At 37.1% G+C, this 18,279-nt stretch overlaps 1 protein-coding gene across 29 annotated transcripts in view; it reads right to left on the bottom strand.

Annotated features, from left to right (window-relative positions):
• SYNE2 (spectrin repeat containing nuclear envelope protein 2) overlaps window positions 1-18,279 on the bottom strand; it is a 464,854-nt gene that overhangs the window by 191,722 nt on the left and 254,853 nt on the right. For all 29 annotated transcript variants that reach the window (XM_047431152.1, XM_011536576.3, XM_047431149.1 and 26 more), the window contains 13 exons: window positions 18,097-18,255; window positions 16,972-17,133; window positions 14,635-14,736; window positions 13,213-13,413; window positions 12,700-12,871; window positions 11,865-11,977; window positions 10,269-10,471; window positions 9,697-9,816; window positions 9,307-9,598; window positions 7,998-8,149; window positions 6,935-7,244; window positions 4,669-4,833; window positions 3,371-3,712 (listed from right to left, as the gene is read on the bottom strand). In XM_047431152.1, the coding sequence (XP_047287108.1) occupies window positions 3,371-3,712; window positions 4,669-4,833; window positions 6,935-7,244; window positions 7,998-8,149; window positions 9,307-9,598; window positions 9,697-9,816; window positions 10,269-10,471; window positions 11,865-11,977; window positions 12,700-12,871; window positions 13,213-13,413; window positions 14,635-14,736; window positions 16,972-17,133; window positions 18,097-18,255 (2,493 nt within the window). The remainder of the gene's footprint in view (window positions 1-3,370; window positions 3,713-4,668; window positions 4,834-6,934; window positions 7,245-7,997; window positions 8,150-9,306; window positions 9,599-9,696; window positions 9,817-10,268; window positions 10,472-11,864; window positions 11,978-12,699; window positions 12,872-13,212; window positions 13,414-14,634; window positions 14,737-16,971; window positions 17,134-18,096; window positions 18,256-18,279) is intronic.

Here is an 18,279-nt window from a genome sequence, read left to right as displayed (position 1 = left end):
ATGCAGTATGGTATTGAATCATAAGCACAAATACCTGTCATACTGAATTTTGCAACTTCTTTTGTTTCTAGGTCTGCCTGAACATTTCCAATATTAAAGAAAAGGTCAACCAAAGGTCCAGATCTACAAAATCACCTGCATTTCATCTGAAATGAAATTCTTGACAATGGATTCAAATATATACATGCTATGATGGCAATTTTTGGAAACTGCCATCACATTTTCAACAAAATTCTAAGATTAATGACATTTACTAAAGAAAAAGTAAAAGAAATAAAAACTTTCTAAAAATTCTTCTGGGGTCTATTTAAAATAATCTGATAAAAGCCTCTCTGGATTCCAAAAAGGCATGTGAAGTGAGTATTAATTAGCAATTTAATTAGTGTTAGATTTTAAGCTGTGACAACTATATCCTCACATTCTAGCAGAATGACTAGCACAAAATAAGTCTCAAGTAGTGTTTTTAATGACTAAAGTGCTTATTTTCACTATCACAATGATTTTATATTAATCAAATTTATAATTCAGTAAACTGTGCCTTTATGTGTCCTACGTATTCATTATATTGAGAATCCAGCTTCAGTCATTAACACAGTTATGTCATTTGTCACATTATACATGTACTTTATTAGTCTAAGCATAAATCTGATCTCTTTTGCTAGTTGCTGTTCAACTTTAAAACTGCTCTTGACCTTAATAGACTAATGTTATATAATATTACATACTCTAATATTACATACAAGAAAATACAGCCAGTACTCAGAGAAAATAAGCCATACAGATACAGAAAAATAGCCATGTTACAAAAGAATAAAGCAACAAAATGTTGCTAGAGAATAAAAACTAGTTATCTGTATCCAAACTTATGAAAATTATTTGAGGACATCAATTCCTCCATTTGCCCTGAAAAAAACATTTAAATGAAGTATCATAAACTATCAATAACCCTTAAATTTGTATCATAAACTATCAATAACTCTTATCATTCAAGATTAATTAAAAGCATAATAAATTTTTTAAACCTTTTTTTTTCTTTTTTCTTGAGACAGGGTCTTGCTCTGTCACCCAGGCTTGAGTGCAGTGGCACAATCTCGGCTCACTACAGTCTCGACCTCCTGGGCTCAAGCAATTCTCCCACCTCAATCTCCCAAGTAGCTGGGACTATAGGCATGTGCCACCACCTCTGGCTAATTTTTGTATTTTTTTTTTTTTGTAGAGACTGGGTTTCACCATGTTGCCCAGGCTGGTCTTGAACTCCTGGGCTCAAGCAATCTATCCACCTCGGCCTCCTCACGTGCTGAGATTACAGCTGTGAGCCACTGCACCTGGCCAAAAACAATTCTTATTTTTAGATTATGATCTTTATATAGTTCTCAACATACTCTATTGAGTTTTGGGGGTTCACAGTCAAAATGGATCTGGGAAGTTAGTTTAAAAGTTGTTAGGCAAGTAACTCCCTTTAGCAAGCTCATGTGTTAGGACTGTGCCCTTTTGTACAGCCTATCTCATAGAAAGCACTGAGTTATTTTTCCTTTTTAACTTTATCACTTATTTATTTAGAGACCAAGGTGTTGTGCTATTGCCCAGGCTGAAGCACAGTGACACAATCATGGCTCACTGCAACCTCAACCTTCGGGGCTCATGTGATCCTCCCACCTCAGCCTCCCAAATAGTTGGGAACACAGGCACAAGCCACCATGCCCAGCTAATTTTTAATTTTTTTGTAGAGATGAAATCTCCCTATGTTGCCCAGACTGATCTCAAACTCCTGGGCTCAAGGGATATTCCCACTTCAGCCCCACAAAGTGCCGAGATTAGTGGTGTGAGCCACTAAGTCTTGATTATCTATTGCTATTTAAATACTGTTTTAAAAGTTTCTTTTACACATACAACATCAAGAGCCTCACTCACTGATCTCTTAATCCTCTAAGACATATCACCTTTTTTAAAAAATTAGAGAAACCCCATCTTCTACTAAAAATACAAAATTAGCCAGGCGTGGTGGCACATGCCTGTAATCCCAGCTACTCAGGAGGCTGAGGCAGGAGAATCGCTTGAACCTGGGAGGCAGAGGTTGCGGTGAGCCAAGATTGCACCATTGCACTCCAGCCAGGGCAACAAGAGTGAAACTCCGTCTCAACAACAACAACAACAACAACAAAATTAGAGATAGGGTCTCACTCTGTCGCCGAGGGTGGAGTACAGTGGTGCAATCACAGCTCACTGTAACCTCAAATTCCTAGGCTCAAATGATTCCCCCATCTCAGCCTCCCAAGGAGCTGGGATAACAGATGTGCACTGTCATGCCCGGTTATTAATATTATTATTTTTTGGTAGAGACAGGGTTCTTGCTATGTTGCCCAGCCTGGTCTCAAGGGATCCTCCAAGGCCTCTCAAAGTGCTAGGATTACAGATGTGAGCCACCATGCCCGGCCTGACACATTTCCTTAGCAATATCTAACACTGTGGGATTTGTTTAAAAACCTTTCCTCACAGAGAGATGCTCCATAGGCATTTCACATTGTTTTACATATTTTTAGAAAATCCTGCCTGGTTCCTTTAATCTTCCATGCATTTCTATTCTACGGAGACAATAAAAGTGCATGTTCTCTTTATTCCTGTTGATTACTTACTCCCTAAAAACCTGATGGGAACTCATACCTGAATGTTCCAACCTCCACTACTGTCCCACCGGACCCTGACTGTGAGAAGCTGCGTGTCAGGGAGATCCTCTCAAATACAGTTTACTGGATCTCTCTTTGTGCGATTCCCATTTCAATCTGTAACCTATGAAAACGCACTTTAAGAGCCACAAGAAATGTACTCATGTGATTGTTCACAGTGAAAACAAGAAAACATTCTTCTTTCTTCTCCCTAGGGAAAGCTAGGAGCCTAAATGTTGCTATCCTCACACTAAATGATCTAACAACAGAGGGTTAACACAAGAAGAAAAAGATAAGAAACTATCCTTTCCGACAGTCTCTGATTTTATTATGAAATCAACCCCCCAAAAATTGGGATCTTGGATTTTTTTCCTGAGAAAATAGGTAAAGAACATTTTCTTTTCTTTCGCCTTTTCTAATTTGCCTTTGTGCTCTTGACCCAAGAAACGGTATCTGATTACCTATCAGAGAGAATAATAAACCTAAATTGATGACTGACATTTTAACAGACTGAACAGCAATATTTCACCACTGAAATCCTGGACAATTTTCTAAGAGCTCTTTTTACAAGTAGGCTTCATAAATAGCCAGGACATTGAGGATTTAATTATGAAATCAGAATGCTTGATTCACGACCCTCTTTTCAGAGCCAAATACCTCTTCATTCTCAGACTCACTGTCTTGAAAGTGCAATCACAAGCACTTACCTTGTTTATTTCCCAGTCTTCCTCCAACTTTTCCACTGCAGCTGATTCCTGAGTAGACTCCTGCACATCAGAAGTGGCCTGCTTCTCTCTGCCTGGCAGAGTAAACTTTCCTTTCTTTTCTGTTGAGCGTTTTGATTTGAGAATGCTGTTGAGACAACATTCCATCTCCTGCTTAGCAGATGCAAGCCTGTTTTCCAAATCTTTTTGTTTACACTGAAGTGATTTTATATCATCTTTAATAATCTTCTGCCCCACTGAAGATGTATTTTGCTTGACGGATTTTGCTAAAGCTAAAATCTTCTTTAATGTGCCATCTTGTAAACTGAGTCTATTCTCTAGTTCCTACGAGTGGAGAAAAGATTGTTATATCTCCATTCAATTGCCACAAAAGTTAATTGACTTTTGTAAATCACAGAGTACTCTTGCTTCACCAGTAGAAATATTTAAAAACTTAACAACTCATATCACATAGAAGAAACTTTGGCAAAATTTAAACCAATGCTGCATCTTGGATCAAATTCTCAAATACGTATTTTAAGATACTAAAATGTTTGCAACAAGTAATTTAGAACAACACAGGAGGCAATCAACAGATATTCGTTGAATATATATGTTTTGTTCAAGATACGTCTTTGTCACACAATCAAAACACTGAATAATAGGTGCCTATTATGTGTGAAGTATTAAAAAGAATAGAAGAATCATTTAGAATGTACCCAATGAATCTAATGCTAATATTTAAAATTCAGAGCAAAACTTTGTGTTGATGAGAAATTCACCTAGTGTACTATCTTAAATATAGCAGAAAATCAATAGTAAATGCGTAAACAAATATGACTAATTTTAAAACTCTAGACTGAAAAGGAATTTGATGTACTGCAGTAGCTACTTTGAACTAGAATAAATCTAGGTGAACGATGTACAGTTTATCAGTCGTTATCCTAATGGGCTACACAAGAAGCATTCACTCAATCATTCATTCATCCAACTAACAGCCAAGTACTAGGATAGATTTTGAAGTTACATAAAGAAGTAACATACAGGCCTTTCAAGGTGCTACAGTCTAGTGGGTAAAACTGTCCCTGAGGGCCCACCAAGTGAGGGTCAATTCCAATTATAAATGGATTTGTCCACTAAAGAAGGACATTCTCATTTATTATGACTGGTCAGAGCTTTAATTACCTAAGAGTCATCTGAATACCACTGGAATTTCTGACAGAGGACACTGATTAATCACACTGTAATTAACACTGATTTTTTTTTTTAAATGTCTATCATGTCTGGACACCGTTTAGTACCTGCAGTTTCTGCAATTTTTCCTCAACCGCTATTTGATCCACAGGCTTATCAGAAAAACTGACAAATTCCTTGGAGAAATTGTCCAATGTAGTATTCAGGTCTGTGACGCAAACCTGGTATGAATCATGTTCTCGAACGTGACCGTCCAAGTTTTGCACAGAATCCTAAAAATAAAGCCACAGACAATTTACAAATTATTTCTCTCTGATTGTTTTCACTCACAAAATAATTAAATGACTAATAAATACTTGTTTACCAGTTTCATCTTGAAACAGGAATACGGCTATAAATTAGAGTTCTAAAGATTTTAGAGTTGGAGATATTTCACTGCAAAGTCTCCATCTCCCCCGCAAAAAAATGACTCTTATTGAAAACAATGTTTTTTCCATGCTTCTTTGCCTTCATTTCCCCTTCATGAAGATAATTTATTTGTCAAGATGTTTATAAAATGAAATAGCTACAAATTGTATCATTAAATCCCAAACATTCATGATAAAGCAGCTTCCTTAATTATCCTTTGCAATAAAACCAACTACCAATTTCCACACTTGGAAATGAGACCATATGAGATCAAACTAACCTCAGATTCATGTCTTAAGAATCAAACTCCAAACCTGTGTGTTAGGAAAATGTAATCTTAACTCAAAAGTAAAACCACCTTTAGTTTCTCTCCCTGGGATAGGAAAATACAATGACCACAGCTGATCAAAAAGCAGCAACTACTAAATTAAACAATTTACAGAAGAACAGGTCTATCTTAACCCCTGCCCAACTTCTGCTATCTGTTCAAGCAGGATTTCTTACCCAGGCAATGTTTACATGGAATCTGGCTTTCAGTGTACAAAGAATTATAAACACTTCTATTAAAAGAATATACTCCCTCATGACAAGCTGACATTTTACCTCTTAATTATTATTTTTTTTGAGATGGAGTCTCACTCTGTTGCCAGGCTGGAGTGCGGCGGTGCAATCTCGGCTCACTGCAACCTCTACCTCCTGGGTTCAAGCAACTCTCCTGCCTCAGCCTCCCCAGTAGGTGGGACTACAGGCGCGTGCCACCATGCCCGGCTAATTTTTGTATTTTTAGTAGAGACATGGTTTCACCATGTTGGCCAGGATGATCTCAATCTTCTGACCTTGTGATCCACCCACCTCAGCCTCCCAACGTGCTGGGATTACAGGCGTTGAGCCACCGTGCCCAGCCTGCCTCGTAATTATTTTACTGAAGATCAGGCAGGAAGATCTGAGGGAGGGGCACTGATAAGAAGGTGGATATAAGATAACTGACATAAACTACTAACAATAGATGATGGATGGATGGATAATATTGACACTGTTACCTTCACAGAGATGCCTGAAAAATCTTAACCCATTCTACCCCTAAAGAGGGGAATTTTGATGAGAGAATATAATATCATCATCAAATAATACAATAGCAAAATGAGCTGGATTTATTCCTCCATCCTTGAGAGTTAGGATTTTCATCTAAAAATGATAAATTAGGAGCTGGGTGCAGTGGCTCGCGCAGGTCATCCAAGCTATTCCAGAGGCTGAGGCAGGAGGATTATATAAGGCCAGGAGGTCTAGACCAGCTTGGGCAACAAAGCGAGACCTTATTTCTACAAAAATAAAAAAATTAGCTGGGTGTAGTGGCGCATGCCTGTAGTCCTAGCTACTAGGTAGGCTGAGGTGGGAGGATCGCTTGAGCCTAGGAGTTCGAGGCTGCAGTGAACTATGATTGCAACACTGCACTCTAGCTTGGGTGACAGAGAAAGACACTGTCTCTAAAAATAAATAAATAAATAAACAGGATCAATCAAATTAGAAAGCTCTTAGTTTACCAAAAGAACAACAACAGGCCAGGTGTGGCTCACGTCTGTAGTCCCAGCACTTTGGGAGGCCAAGGCGGGAGGATCACTTGAGCCCAGGAGTTCAAGACCAGCCTGGGCAACATGGCAAAACCCCATCTCTAAAAAAAATACAAAAATGAGCCAGGTGTAGTGGCACATGCCTGTAGTCCCAACCCGGGAGGCTGAAGCAGGAGGATCACCTGAGCCCTCAAAGGTTGACACTGCAGTGAGCTGAGATCATGCCACTGCACTCCAGCCTGGGCAAAGAGTGAGACCCTGTCTCAAAAAAATAAAATAAAATAAAATAAAATAAAACAAAACAAAATGAACAACAACAACAGATAGTTCCACATATGTCTTGCATACTTATGTATAATTAGAACAATCATTTAAAGCATTATTTTGACCACCTCACCTGCAGTTGTTGAAGAAGACTTTCGTGTAGATGCTTTATTTCCAGCCAAGGCTCTTCACTGAAGCTGGGATTTTTAGTGCACTCCAAGAGGTAGTTTCCCTGAGATTTTAACTCCTTTAGCAAGGATGTCAAATCTTGGGCTTTCTTGAGGAATTTCTTATAAATCTTTAACTGAGCTTTCTTCTCCTGCAGACCATGTTGTAGAGCAAAGCCTGCTTCCTGTTTCTTCTTTAGTTCTATGAGCATTAATCTCAGATCCTCCTTACTTTGTAAATATTTCTCTCCTTCTAGTAGAAGCTTTTCTTGATGGCTAAATTTCACAAAATATTTTATAAATTAAATGATATTTAGCAAAATGGACTAGCATTTTGCATATTATGTAACACACATCCTAATAAACATTAAAATAACACTAATATACATTGTTCCCAGAGACTCTTTTGATATTAGAACACTGTAAATAACACTGTTTAGCTCAGAAACCAAGACAGAAATTATTTGAGTATTACTAAAAAATAATTGTTTTCTGTTACATAATTTGACCAGAGAATATTTAATAATTTAGATTTCAAACAAGTCCCAACAGTTTCTACTAATTATATTTTCCCATACTTTACTTCTTCATAAAGTAAAACAAACATTCCGTATATTAACCAACTAACTAGTTTATGCTTTTATAGCTTAAAATTAAGATCTGATTGGCTCTTCAAACATAAAATTCACATTTCTAAATATTAAATGTACCATTGTAGACATGATATGAATTAAGAATTTTCACTAGAATTACATCCATTGGATTCAGCCAACATTTATCAATGTTCACATATTTAAGAATTTCTTAAAATAAATATTTAAGAGCATTAATTATTCTACAGTGATACCATGCAGATAATGAGGTTATCTGGTTTTGGTTTCTGTCTCTTGACACTGTGGATGTCCCTGACATTACCAACTTTCTCTCTAGCAGATATTATATCCAAACCCAGGGGGCAGACAAAACATACTTGTTATGGCTTCACTGGGCAATGGGATATGATGCAAGTGGTGCAGGCATGCCCTTTACCTTAGGTAGGTGCTAGCTAAATGGAGTGTGTTGTCCCACTGGTTGCTGATGTCAGTGAGGGTCTTCTGAACCAGCGGGGCCTCGCTGCTCTCAGCCTGCTTCATGATGGTCTCTATTCTGGCATCCCCTTCAGGCTTCAGCAAAATGATTTCCTGAATTAAATAAAAGAGATTTTATAATGTCATTTGCATTACTTAGAGATACTACATGCTATCTCTTTATTTGTAAGCTTTATATAGAGATTCTATCTGTAGGGTATATTTCAACATAATCTTTTCATTTTTATATGTACCCGAAAGACAAAGATATCTCTCTTCACATTATATATAGTTCTCCATAAATATTTGTCAGTTTGAGCTGACTGCATTCCTGCTCTTCTCTAGATTTTCAATACTTCCTTTATGCCCCCAAAACCCTGGCAAAACCTCTTCCTATCCACTCTATTATTTATGGATGGAGAGTTATGATAACAATCTGACAAGACATTTTTATAACCTAAGCATAGACTTATGACTTCCCATAGGAAAATACAGTGTCCCTCATGTCAACTCTTGTTTCTCTACCATGACATAATTAATTCTCGTTCTCACTTTCTCTGGGAAAACGTCTGGATATAATCCCAAATGATTCTGATTATTTACTAAGTCTCACCAACCTTAAGAGCTCATGATTTTTGGCCATTTCTTCCTCTAAGAATGCTTCAATGAATGTGATTTCAGTTCTCCTACAGTTCCTTTTAAACACAAGTGCTTCTGTCCCCTGTATTTTTATCTAGTGATTGAATTTTTAAATTTATTATAATTAAATTTTAATTTTTAAAAATGTTTACTGAATCTCCCCTTAGATAAAAAGGGAGCCCAAGGGAGCTTGAGACTTCCTTGCTTTCCCCTCCCACTATCTAATAAACTTTTATGAACCATACACATCCACTCTGAAGAACTCCCCTGCCTCGACATTGCTGATGCTTCTGCTATACTGACATATGTTCTTTTGACATCCTAGCAAACTCCCTCCCACTAGCAGCTCTGATTCATTGTCTTTATTTCAATTCTTCTGCACTCATTGAAGACGGACAATAGGCACACTGCTCTCTCTAAGACAGGACATGCTTTCTGTCTTTCATGTGCATCCAAGTAATTTTAGATCCGTCACAACCCTTCTTTTTTGTAAGCTCAGTGATCTGAATTTCTTCAACCATTCCACAGTGATCTGATTTTCCATTAAGAAGCACATCTTTACAGTTTTCCTCTAAATCTTTTCAAAACTAGAGTTCACTCAGACTTCTGAAATTTAGTTTCCATAGTTATACCTTGATTTTTTGGATTCTTTCCTCAAGTGGCATTTTGCCTTCGGATGAATTCAAAACCATAAGGGACTCTTTAATCTCTTTTATCCAATGAATTACATCATGTGCAAGATCATTAAAGCTCTGGTCCTCTGTGGGTAGTAACTTATCCTCTTCCTCGATTTCACTTAGTTGTCTCAGTAATGTCTGGTATCTATCCATCAAACATGTTGCTTCCATTATTATTTCTTCTTCTTCAGTAAACCCATATTCCTTCAAAGAGTTGTTCAATTGGGCCACAGATTCAAACTGTTCCCTGTAAATTCCAAATACCACTTAAAGTTTATAGGAGTAACCACACCATGGAAGAAACCATAATCTCAGGTAATGTATTTCATACAAGATCAGCTATACCTCTTTCTAGCTAAAGCTTGGCAGAACAGCTCAGTTTTCTCCCCTGGTTCTTCCATTCCTTTCCATTTCTCTTCTTGATTAGTCAACCACTTCCTCAGGTTTCTATGGTCATCCTGGAGTCTAAAAGAGCATTACACATGTTTAAATACAAAATAAGCAAAAAGTGTTTATACCAAAGAAAAGGATGGCACAAACCTTGTGACTCAACCAGGTTTTTATAATATGTTTGTTATAATTTAGAGAGAATTTAATTTGTAATATAAAAAATCTAATTAACAGCCTGTATGATAGCGGGGTTCTATAGTATTAAAGAAAACCACACAAATGTCTCATAGAGAACAGGAAACAGAAAACTTTTTTCAGACTATCCCATGAACCTTTGCTACATTAGACAATGTGAAGATTTTTCCCGAATTTTTATATTTCTAGCACCAAACCTGGATTGAAAAGTACGCCTTTTGTGTGTGAAATTTGTGTGTACTGCGTATCCCAGTGCTCTCTGCGCTGAGGCAGAGTACAAATAAAGATATGGTTAGAAAACATGTTATTTAGATATCATCTTTATTTCCTACCTCAGTAGCTGCTGCAAGGAGTCTTCAAGCTCCTTTGCTCGAGCCTGGCATATGGACTCCATTTTTTCTAATTCGAATTCCTGACCCACGAGCCAACTGATAAGCTCCTTCACATGTGCTTTGGGCAGATGCTTCTTCACATGCTTCAGTACGCTGTCCACCTGCTTTATTTTACTGTTTCTTCCTTCAAGAGTCAAGAAATCCTTCAGAAAGACAAAAAGTCCATTACAATCTCCTGGCAAGTCTGAATGTGGTCTCTGCCACCCTCACGACACTTTTCCAAACCAGTACACAGACATACCACCTTCTTAAGATCCTATACGAAAGAAGGGTGATGGAGATGTGGCTATCTCCAATGGCAGATGATTTATAATAGTTCTGACTTCTTGGGAATTACATCAAGCAAAGTAACACAGAGCCACCAGGAAGATCAGCAGGAGCAAGACCAGGACAGCTACATTTTCCTATCCTGGCTACGTCCAACTTCTCCACAGACTATTCTCTATTTAACGTTGCCCAAATAAGAATTTTATCTCAATGTTTACGTTTCAAGGTTTGGGCATCAATTGTTAAGGCCCATGCAATGGGCAAAATTAAAGGCAAACAAGCAAACAAAAAAAGATGAGACTTCAAATTGTTAGAAGAGGGGTGATTCTATCAGTAAAGAATGGTACCATCAAAGCAAGGAATTAAACAGTGAACATTTAGTGCCATTGATAAGCTTAAAAACATAACTTATCATCAAAACATTAAAGTAATAGATAGTCTACCCTAAAGTGATCAAGATTTTAGGGTACCACAGGCCTTTCATACGCCCCCGTGAACTCTGCCTTTCATTTCAGGATATCCTCCACTACGTTCCAACCAGAAATGTACTGAAGTTCAGCGGCAATTTTTAAAAGAAATATAACTGGAAAAAGATGTATAAACAAGTTAAAATACCTCTTTCAAGAAAGGGGATTTTAAAGTCCAAATTAGGTCTTTATTTTTTATCAAATATGATTTCAACACAACTGAATTCCCCAGTGGACACTAAATTAAACAGCATCTTAGAATATATGTAAAAGTAGAGATTCTGTAAGCCATTTGTACACACACCCAATAAATAGAGTCTTAAATATTTGGAAAAAGGCCAAGTTATTTGGGAATATTATCTCTCATGTGAAAATATCAGTAAGTCAAAGTACTTATTACTCTATTTCTTTTTTATTTGAGACAGGGTCTCACTCTGTCGCCCAGGATGGAGTGCTGGAGTGCAGTGGCATGATCTCAGCTCACTACACCTTCCTCCTCCCAGGCTCAAGCGATCCTCTCACCTGGGACTACAGGTACTTGCTGCCACACCCAGCTAATTTTTGTATTTTTTGTAGAGATAAGGTTTCACCATGAGCTTGGTGAACCTTTTACCAAAGTTCGAGACCCAGGCTGGTCTCGAACTCTTGAGCTCAAGTGATCCACCAGCCTCAGCCTTCGAAAATGCTAGGATTACAGGTGTGAGTTACCATGCCCAGCCTCCCTATTTATTTTGATACAGTTCTATGCCTCCAGTATTTTAGTATTGAAAATTTTTATTAAAAATACACATATATCTCTTACAGAAAGTTTTTGTAGCTTTTGTTCCACACTCTTTTTTGTTTCTGATGATTCAAAACACTCCTTAAGGTTCACTTTAATGTTGCTGAACCAGTCATTAAAGTTCTTGCATTGATCTGCAGGGGGAAAAAAAAAGCTCTATTCATTCAAGGAAGACTTCATACATCTTGTTAAAGTGAGAGATTTTGAAACTTGTTTCCCATGCCATAGATATACATCGTTGTGAAAGTGGTAATAACCTCTGAAACCCAATTTTGAGGGCTAATAAAGCCTAGACAAGGTTTCACCATAAATTTGGTGAACCTTTCACCAAGGTTTGAGACCCAGGCTGGTCTCAAACTCTTGAGCTCAAGCAATCCACCCGCCTTGGCCTCCCAAAGTGCTAGAATTACAGGCGTGAGCTACCGCGCCCGGCCTCCCTATTTATTTAGATACAGTTCTATGCCTCCAGTATTTTTACTACAATTCATCAAATAATTGTAGTGTATTTTCTATACCAAACGTCCAAGCATACAGGACACTCAAAGACACTGCCTGGACCGCTTGTGCACCAGTATTTCCCCAGACTCACCAACCACAATGAGCAGGTCAAACACTAGGACCTTAGTGACTTACCTTCAAGAAAGAAATAAAGGTTTGGAGCTTGCAAGAACTAGGTGTTATTTATGTCAAGCATAAATCAGTCTTTGCTCCCAAAAGATTTATCTGATTATTATTTCCTTGAATGTAGTCTGTGCAAACCATCTCTAAGTCAGGCTTAGATTAGCTTTTGTGTTCACAGTACTACATTCATACTTCAAGAGTCCCAGAAACAAAATAAGAGAAATGTTGCACTCACCATTCAATAACTTAGAAAAGTGATCTTGCAAAACACTTTTTTTGGTATTAAATAAATCACTGACACTTTCATATTGCTTTTTCAATTCAGAGAGTTCAGGAGTCAGACAACCTATTTGATTCTCAAGTAATATCATACTGTGTTTTTGCTGTAGAATCTGCTGTTGTATCTCCTAAATGCATAAACAAACAACAACCATTAAATCTTAAAACAGGCTCAAATTACACAAAGCATATTAGATCTCAATTGTTTTGTAAAAATCTCAATGACTCTCTGTTGAGTGGATTCACTTTCTCTTTGCTAGTAAATGTATGATACAATGCAAGTTAATATCAAATAATTATCATGCACAAAGCAATTCAAAGATGAAAATGCTAAATATACAAAAGCGGTTTTTCTGAGTTTTCTTCTTCGACTTTTTTTTTCTATTTTTATTAACTCTAAGAGCTCAAGACAACTGCAAATAGTGTGAAAATAAATCTGAACCACAGAAGACAAGCAGCTCGGTAGCACCTCTAGTTTAGTGAAGATCTCCAAGCTGTCAGAAGGAGACAGGGCTTTTAAGAGGGATTCAGTCATCCCGATCTGGGTCTTGGCTTGGTCGAGATCCTCCCTTAGCTCAGCAGTGCTGCCACTGAGTGCATGGCAGTTGGATTCTCCTGTTAAGCACTTCTGTACATGTTCCATCTTGTTCAAAATAGAGGACTCCATGACCTGAAATCATGAAATATATGAAGTTGTATAACAGTCATTATTTAACTAGATTTAAGACAACTGCATTGCTAGAGAATGGGTTGAGATTACTTCATTTCAATGTGAAATGCATTCTTTTCATTGCTCTACGTTTTTCTATGTCACTGATACAATTTGAATTTTGCCTTTAAAGGATAAAGCATAACATAAAAAAAACTGAAATGGATATTCTGATTTTTTTCTAAGAGACAAACTTGATCCTTCCCCTCAACACAAGTTTAATCTAGCATACCAACTAAGGTGCTGTCTCATGGTGCTCATGACATAAAATATAAAGAAAAATATATGGAAAAAAATTAAACAGCCTGCTTTTTATTGAGTATTTATGATGTACACAGCATTGTGGTAAGCACTTTGTGTACAAAATACAGGCTTAAGAATGTTAAGTAACTTGTCCAAGATTATAAAGCTAGTAGGTAGTACAGCCGGAACCTCACCCAGAAGGTCTTAACTCCAGCACTCATATTCAACCACTATGTACCTAGATCTAAGAAAAACAAAAACAAATCTCTTCACACAACAGAAAACCATACTTGGGGCAATCTCTCTCTTTCTCCATCTAGCAAATAATAAACCTAGGATGACTTGAGTGAAATTCTCCTTCCTATACCCAAGAAACACATAGAAAATAATCATTACTTTACACAGATGCACAGGCAACATTTGCCCTCCATACCTGAGTGAGGCCTGTGAAATAGGTGAGGGGAAAATAAAGGACTACAAAAATATAATATCATTGACGCTAAATATGGAATAAATATATTTAACTATACCAACTATTAGAAATTTGGTGGGACTTAACATAGGAATTGAATAAATGATCCTAATTTTATTTTAGGCTTTATGTTTAGAATGCATGATTTTTAAGCATTATTTTAGAGGCCATAGGGCAAGCTTGTCCAATCCACGACCCAACATAAATTCCTAAATTTTCTTAAAACATTATGAAATTTTTTTGCTATTGTTAGTGTATTTCATGTGTGGCCCAAGACAATTCTTCTTCCAATATGGCCCAGGGAAGCCAAAAGACAGGACACCCCTGTTATAGAGAATCTTTAATTGGGCCGTTTTTTTCTTCTTTTAGAGACAGGGTTTTGCTCTGTCGCCCAGGCTGGAGTGCAGTGATATGATTATGGCTTACTGAAGCCTCAATAACTGAAACTTTTAAATAAAAATTCTTACCTGCAATTCAAGAGGTATTTCACTGCTTTGGAGCAAAAACTGTATTTCAGCCACTCTTCTAGAAAATTCTGAAGTTTTTTGTTCATGGACTTGTAATTCTTCCTAAAACATGTAATTTTAAAGGATAGTGTCTTTTTATTTCATACCTTATTTTCTGATACCCATAATTACTACTGTTTATATATAGAAACTGAGAGAGCCCTTGAATTTCCCATAATCATGTGTGTTTTGTCAGAGTCCTAGAAGTTACAAATCCAAGTGCCTTCAGGGGTCAGGCAAATGCTACAACCAAGCGTCTTTCTAGGTATAAGACAAGAGAAAGGCTAGGCCTGTGCCACAAGAGAATGCACGGTCTGCCTTAAAGCATTCAATTTCATAAATATATTTATAAATTGCATACCCCGTGTGTGCGCATCTGCACGCATGCACACACATACACACACACACACGGACACACAATTTTAGCAGATTTTGGCCCACAGCTGTCAGTTTACAATTCTTAACTTCAGATTTTTAAACAACCTGTAATCCAAGACAAATTTAAAGGACTCTTAGAAATGATTCATTTATACTTAGAAAATCATAGTTTCACTTAATACCTATTATCATTTATCCAGGAAACTTGAAATCTCCAAACAGTTCAAAAACTTTTTCCAAATATGTAAAAATAAATACATGAATTAAAAAGTAAATAAAATAGTTAGAGACAAAACGAGATCTGAGGCATTAGCATACATTTTTATGTTACGTTGAACCACATATAACTGGCAACAGTTGGCTGTTTTCTGACCTAGCAAGAGAACAAATTTTTTTTTTTTTTTGAGACGGAGTCTCCCTTTGTCGTTCAGGATGGAGTACAGTGGTGCAATCTCTGCTCACTGTAACCTCTGCCTCCCCAGTTCAAGCTATTCTCCTGCCTCAGCCTCCCATATAGCTGGGATTAAAGGCACACACCACCACACCCAGCTAATATTTTTGTATTTTTAGTATAGACAGGGCTTCACCATGTTGGCCAGGCTGGTCTCAAACTCCTGACCTCAAGTGATCCACCTGCTTCAGCCTCCCAAAATGCTGGGATTACAGGTGTCAGCCACCACACTCAGCTGACAACAAATTTATATGATACAAACAAATAATATGTAAACAAGCAATTAGGAAGAATTCTTCCTAGAGTTGAAAGAGAAATAACTTTGATTCTTTCCAGATGCCACAACCTGAGACTGTTGTTTTAAAAAGTAGCTTTTCTTGAAGCTCTATAAAGATGGTGATACTCAGCCATGTATTTTTTCTGATCTTTATAAGGCATTGTTTAATTCAAATATGAAGAAGGCCGTCTAAAATCATGGTCTAGATCGGAGGTTAACTATAGCCGGAGAGCTGATAGCCTGTTTTTATAAATAAAGTTTTTATTGGAAACCAGCTGCTTTCAAGCATTTATATTGTCTCTCGCTGTTTTCAATTCTCCAACAGCAGGGTTGAACAGTTGTGGCAGAAACAAATGATCCACAAGGCTAAAATATTTACTATATGGCCCTTTAAGAAAAAGTCTGCTGGCTGGGCATGATGGCTCACGCCTGTAATCCCAGCATTTTGGGAGGCCGAGGTGGGCGGATCACGAGGTCAGGAGCTCAAGACCAGTCTGGCCAACATAGTGAAACCCCGTCTCTACTAAAAATACACAAAAAATTAGCCAGGTGTGGTGGTGTGCGCCTGTAATCCCAGTGTACTCAGGAGGCTGAGGCAGGAGAATCATGTGAACCTAGGAGGCGGAGGTTGCAGTGAGCCGAGATCGTGCCACTGCACTCCAGCCTGGGTGACAGAACGAGACTCTGCCTCAAAAAAAAGAGAAAAGAAAAAGTCTGGTAACCCCTGGGGTCTGTATTGCTACCCGGGAGCAATTATGCATTTTGTTGGCGCTTTTGCTAGGAATTCTTCATCTTTTTCATACTACCAATCCCTCTGGCAATCTGGTGAAGCCTACAGACCCCTTGCGTAATAGCAATTTTAAAATAAAGCATAAACTAAATAAGGTAGAATTACAAAGGAAAACAATTACATGATAGTTATCAAAATATTAAAAACAATTTGTGATACGTAATACTAGCACGTTTCCCCATTATATAACAAGATCTAGCAATAGACTTACTAAATCCCATACTTTCAAAGTATTGGTAAGGGTAATAGATTCAACAACTGAATAATGATCCAAAAATGTCTGTGATTTTCTTGATAACAAAGTCACATATGAGCATCCTAATGTTTGTTGACTATATTCATAAAAAATAAAAAATGTCAATTGTGTACCAAGAAAAGCATGTATTTTATCTGTTAAATTACCTTCAGCCTTTCTCTGTCCTCTTCAGTCAATTGATGTAATTCCATTTTTTGAAGGGCCTTTTCTGTCCACTCATCAATGACATTTTTTAAGTTAAAAAGTTTGTCCCACAAAGCTAGAGCTCGACCAAGATTTTCATAGTAATCTTCTGTCTTCTCATTTATCTACCATAATTTAAAAAGAGAAACAACATATGTAGCAGTGAAAAGTCTGAAAACCACTGTTTCAGCCAAACACTGTTTTAAAATAAAATTTTAGTTTACTATTACTGGATAATCTGCTTTATTCATCAACAAAAATTTGCTTTAACATATCATGTAGTTCTTTCTCTTAAAAAATAAAAATAAAACTTACCTGATTTGCTGTAGCTTATATGCAATTGAAATCAATAGTCTTCCTAATTTCTTTTTTTTTTTTTTTTTTTTTTTTTGAGATGGAGTCTTGCTCTGTCGCCCAGGCTGGAGTGCAGTGGTGCGAACTCGGCTCACTGCAAGCTCCGCCTCCCGAGTTCACGCCATTCTCCTGCCTCAGCCTCCCGTGTAGTTGAGATTACAGGCATGCACCACCATGCCCGGCTAATATTTGTATTTTTAGTAGAGACAGGATTCACCATGTTGGCCAGGCTGGTCTCAAACCCCTGACCTCAGGTGATTCACCCGTCTCAGCCTCCCAAAGTGCTAGGATTATAGATGTGAGCCACCATGCTGGGTCTAGTCTTCTTCATTTCTAAACCACATTTTTTTTTGTTAAATGGTACTTTTAAAAACCCAGATGAAAATATAATGCAGATGAGTTCTTAGTTTCTAATTAATAAAAACTAGTAATATCATTACTACTCAACCAAAATTATATTAAATATGTAGTTAAACATCAGTATACTGCATGAACAGGCAATATATTAAAGAACTTATTTTTAAAAAGCCAAGTATGTATTTCTATATGTACAAGATGATGAACCCATCTGTTAGTAGTCCCAACTCTGGGGTTAAAATTAATTCCTAAGTTTTATATAATTTGAACATTTTTACAATGAGTATTTTTGAATCTTGAATTAAATAAAAATACTAAAGATACACCAAAATATTGGAAACAAAATTAAATTTGCAATCAATGAAATTATCACTTACATCAAGCCATCTATCCACAATAATATTAGCCTCTTTTTCAAAAGGGGGCTCTTCAAAAGTTTTCATTTTATTTAGATAAAATTGTAGATTTTTGCAGACCTGGTTTATCTTGTCTACAACTTCTAAATGCTCATTAAATTCTTCTTTGACAATTTCAATCTGTAAAAAAGATATGAAAGTTAT

The sequence above is a fragment of the Homo sapiens genome, chromosome 14 (genome assembly GCF_000001405.40).
Source record: "Homo sapiens chromosome 14, GRCh38.p14 Primary Assembly".
Lineage (NCBI taxonomy): Eukaryota > Metazoa > Chordata > Mammalia > Primates > Hominidae > Homo > Homo sapiens.
This window is presented reverse-complemented; position numbering and strand designations above follow the sequence as displayed.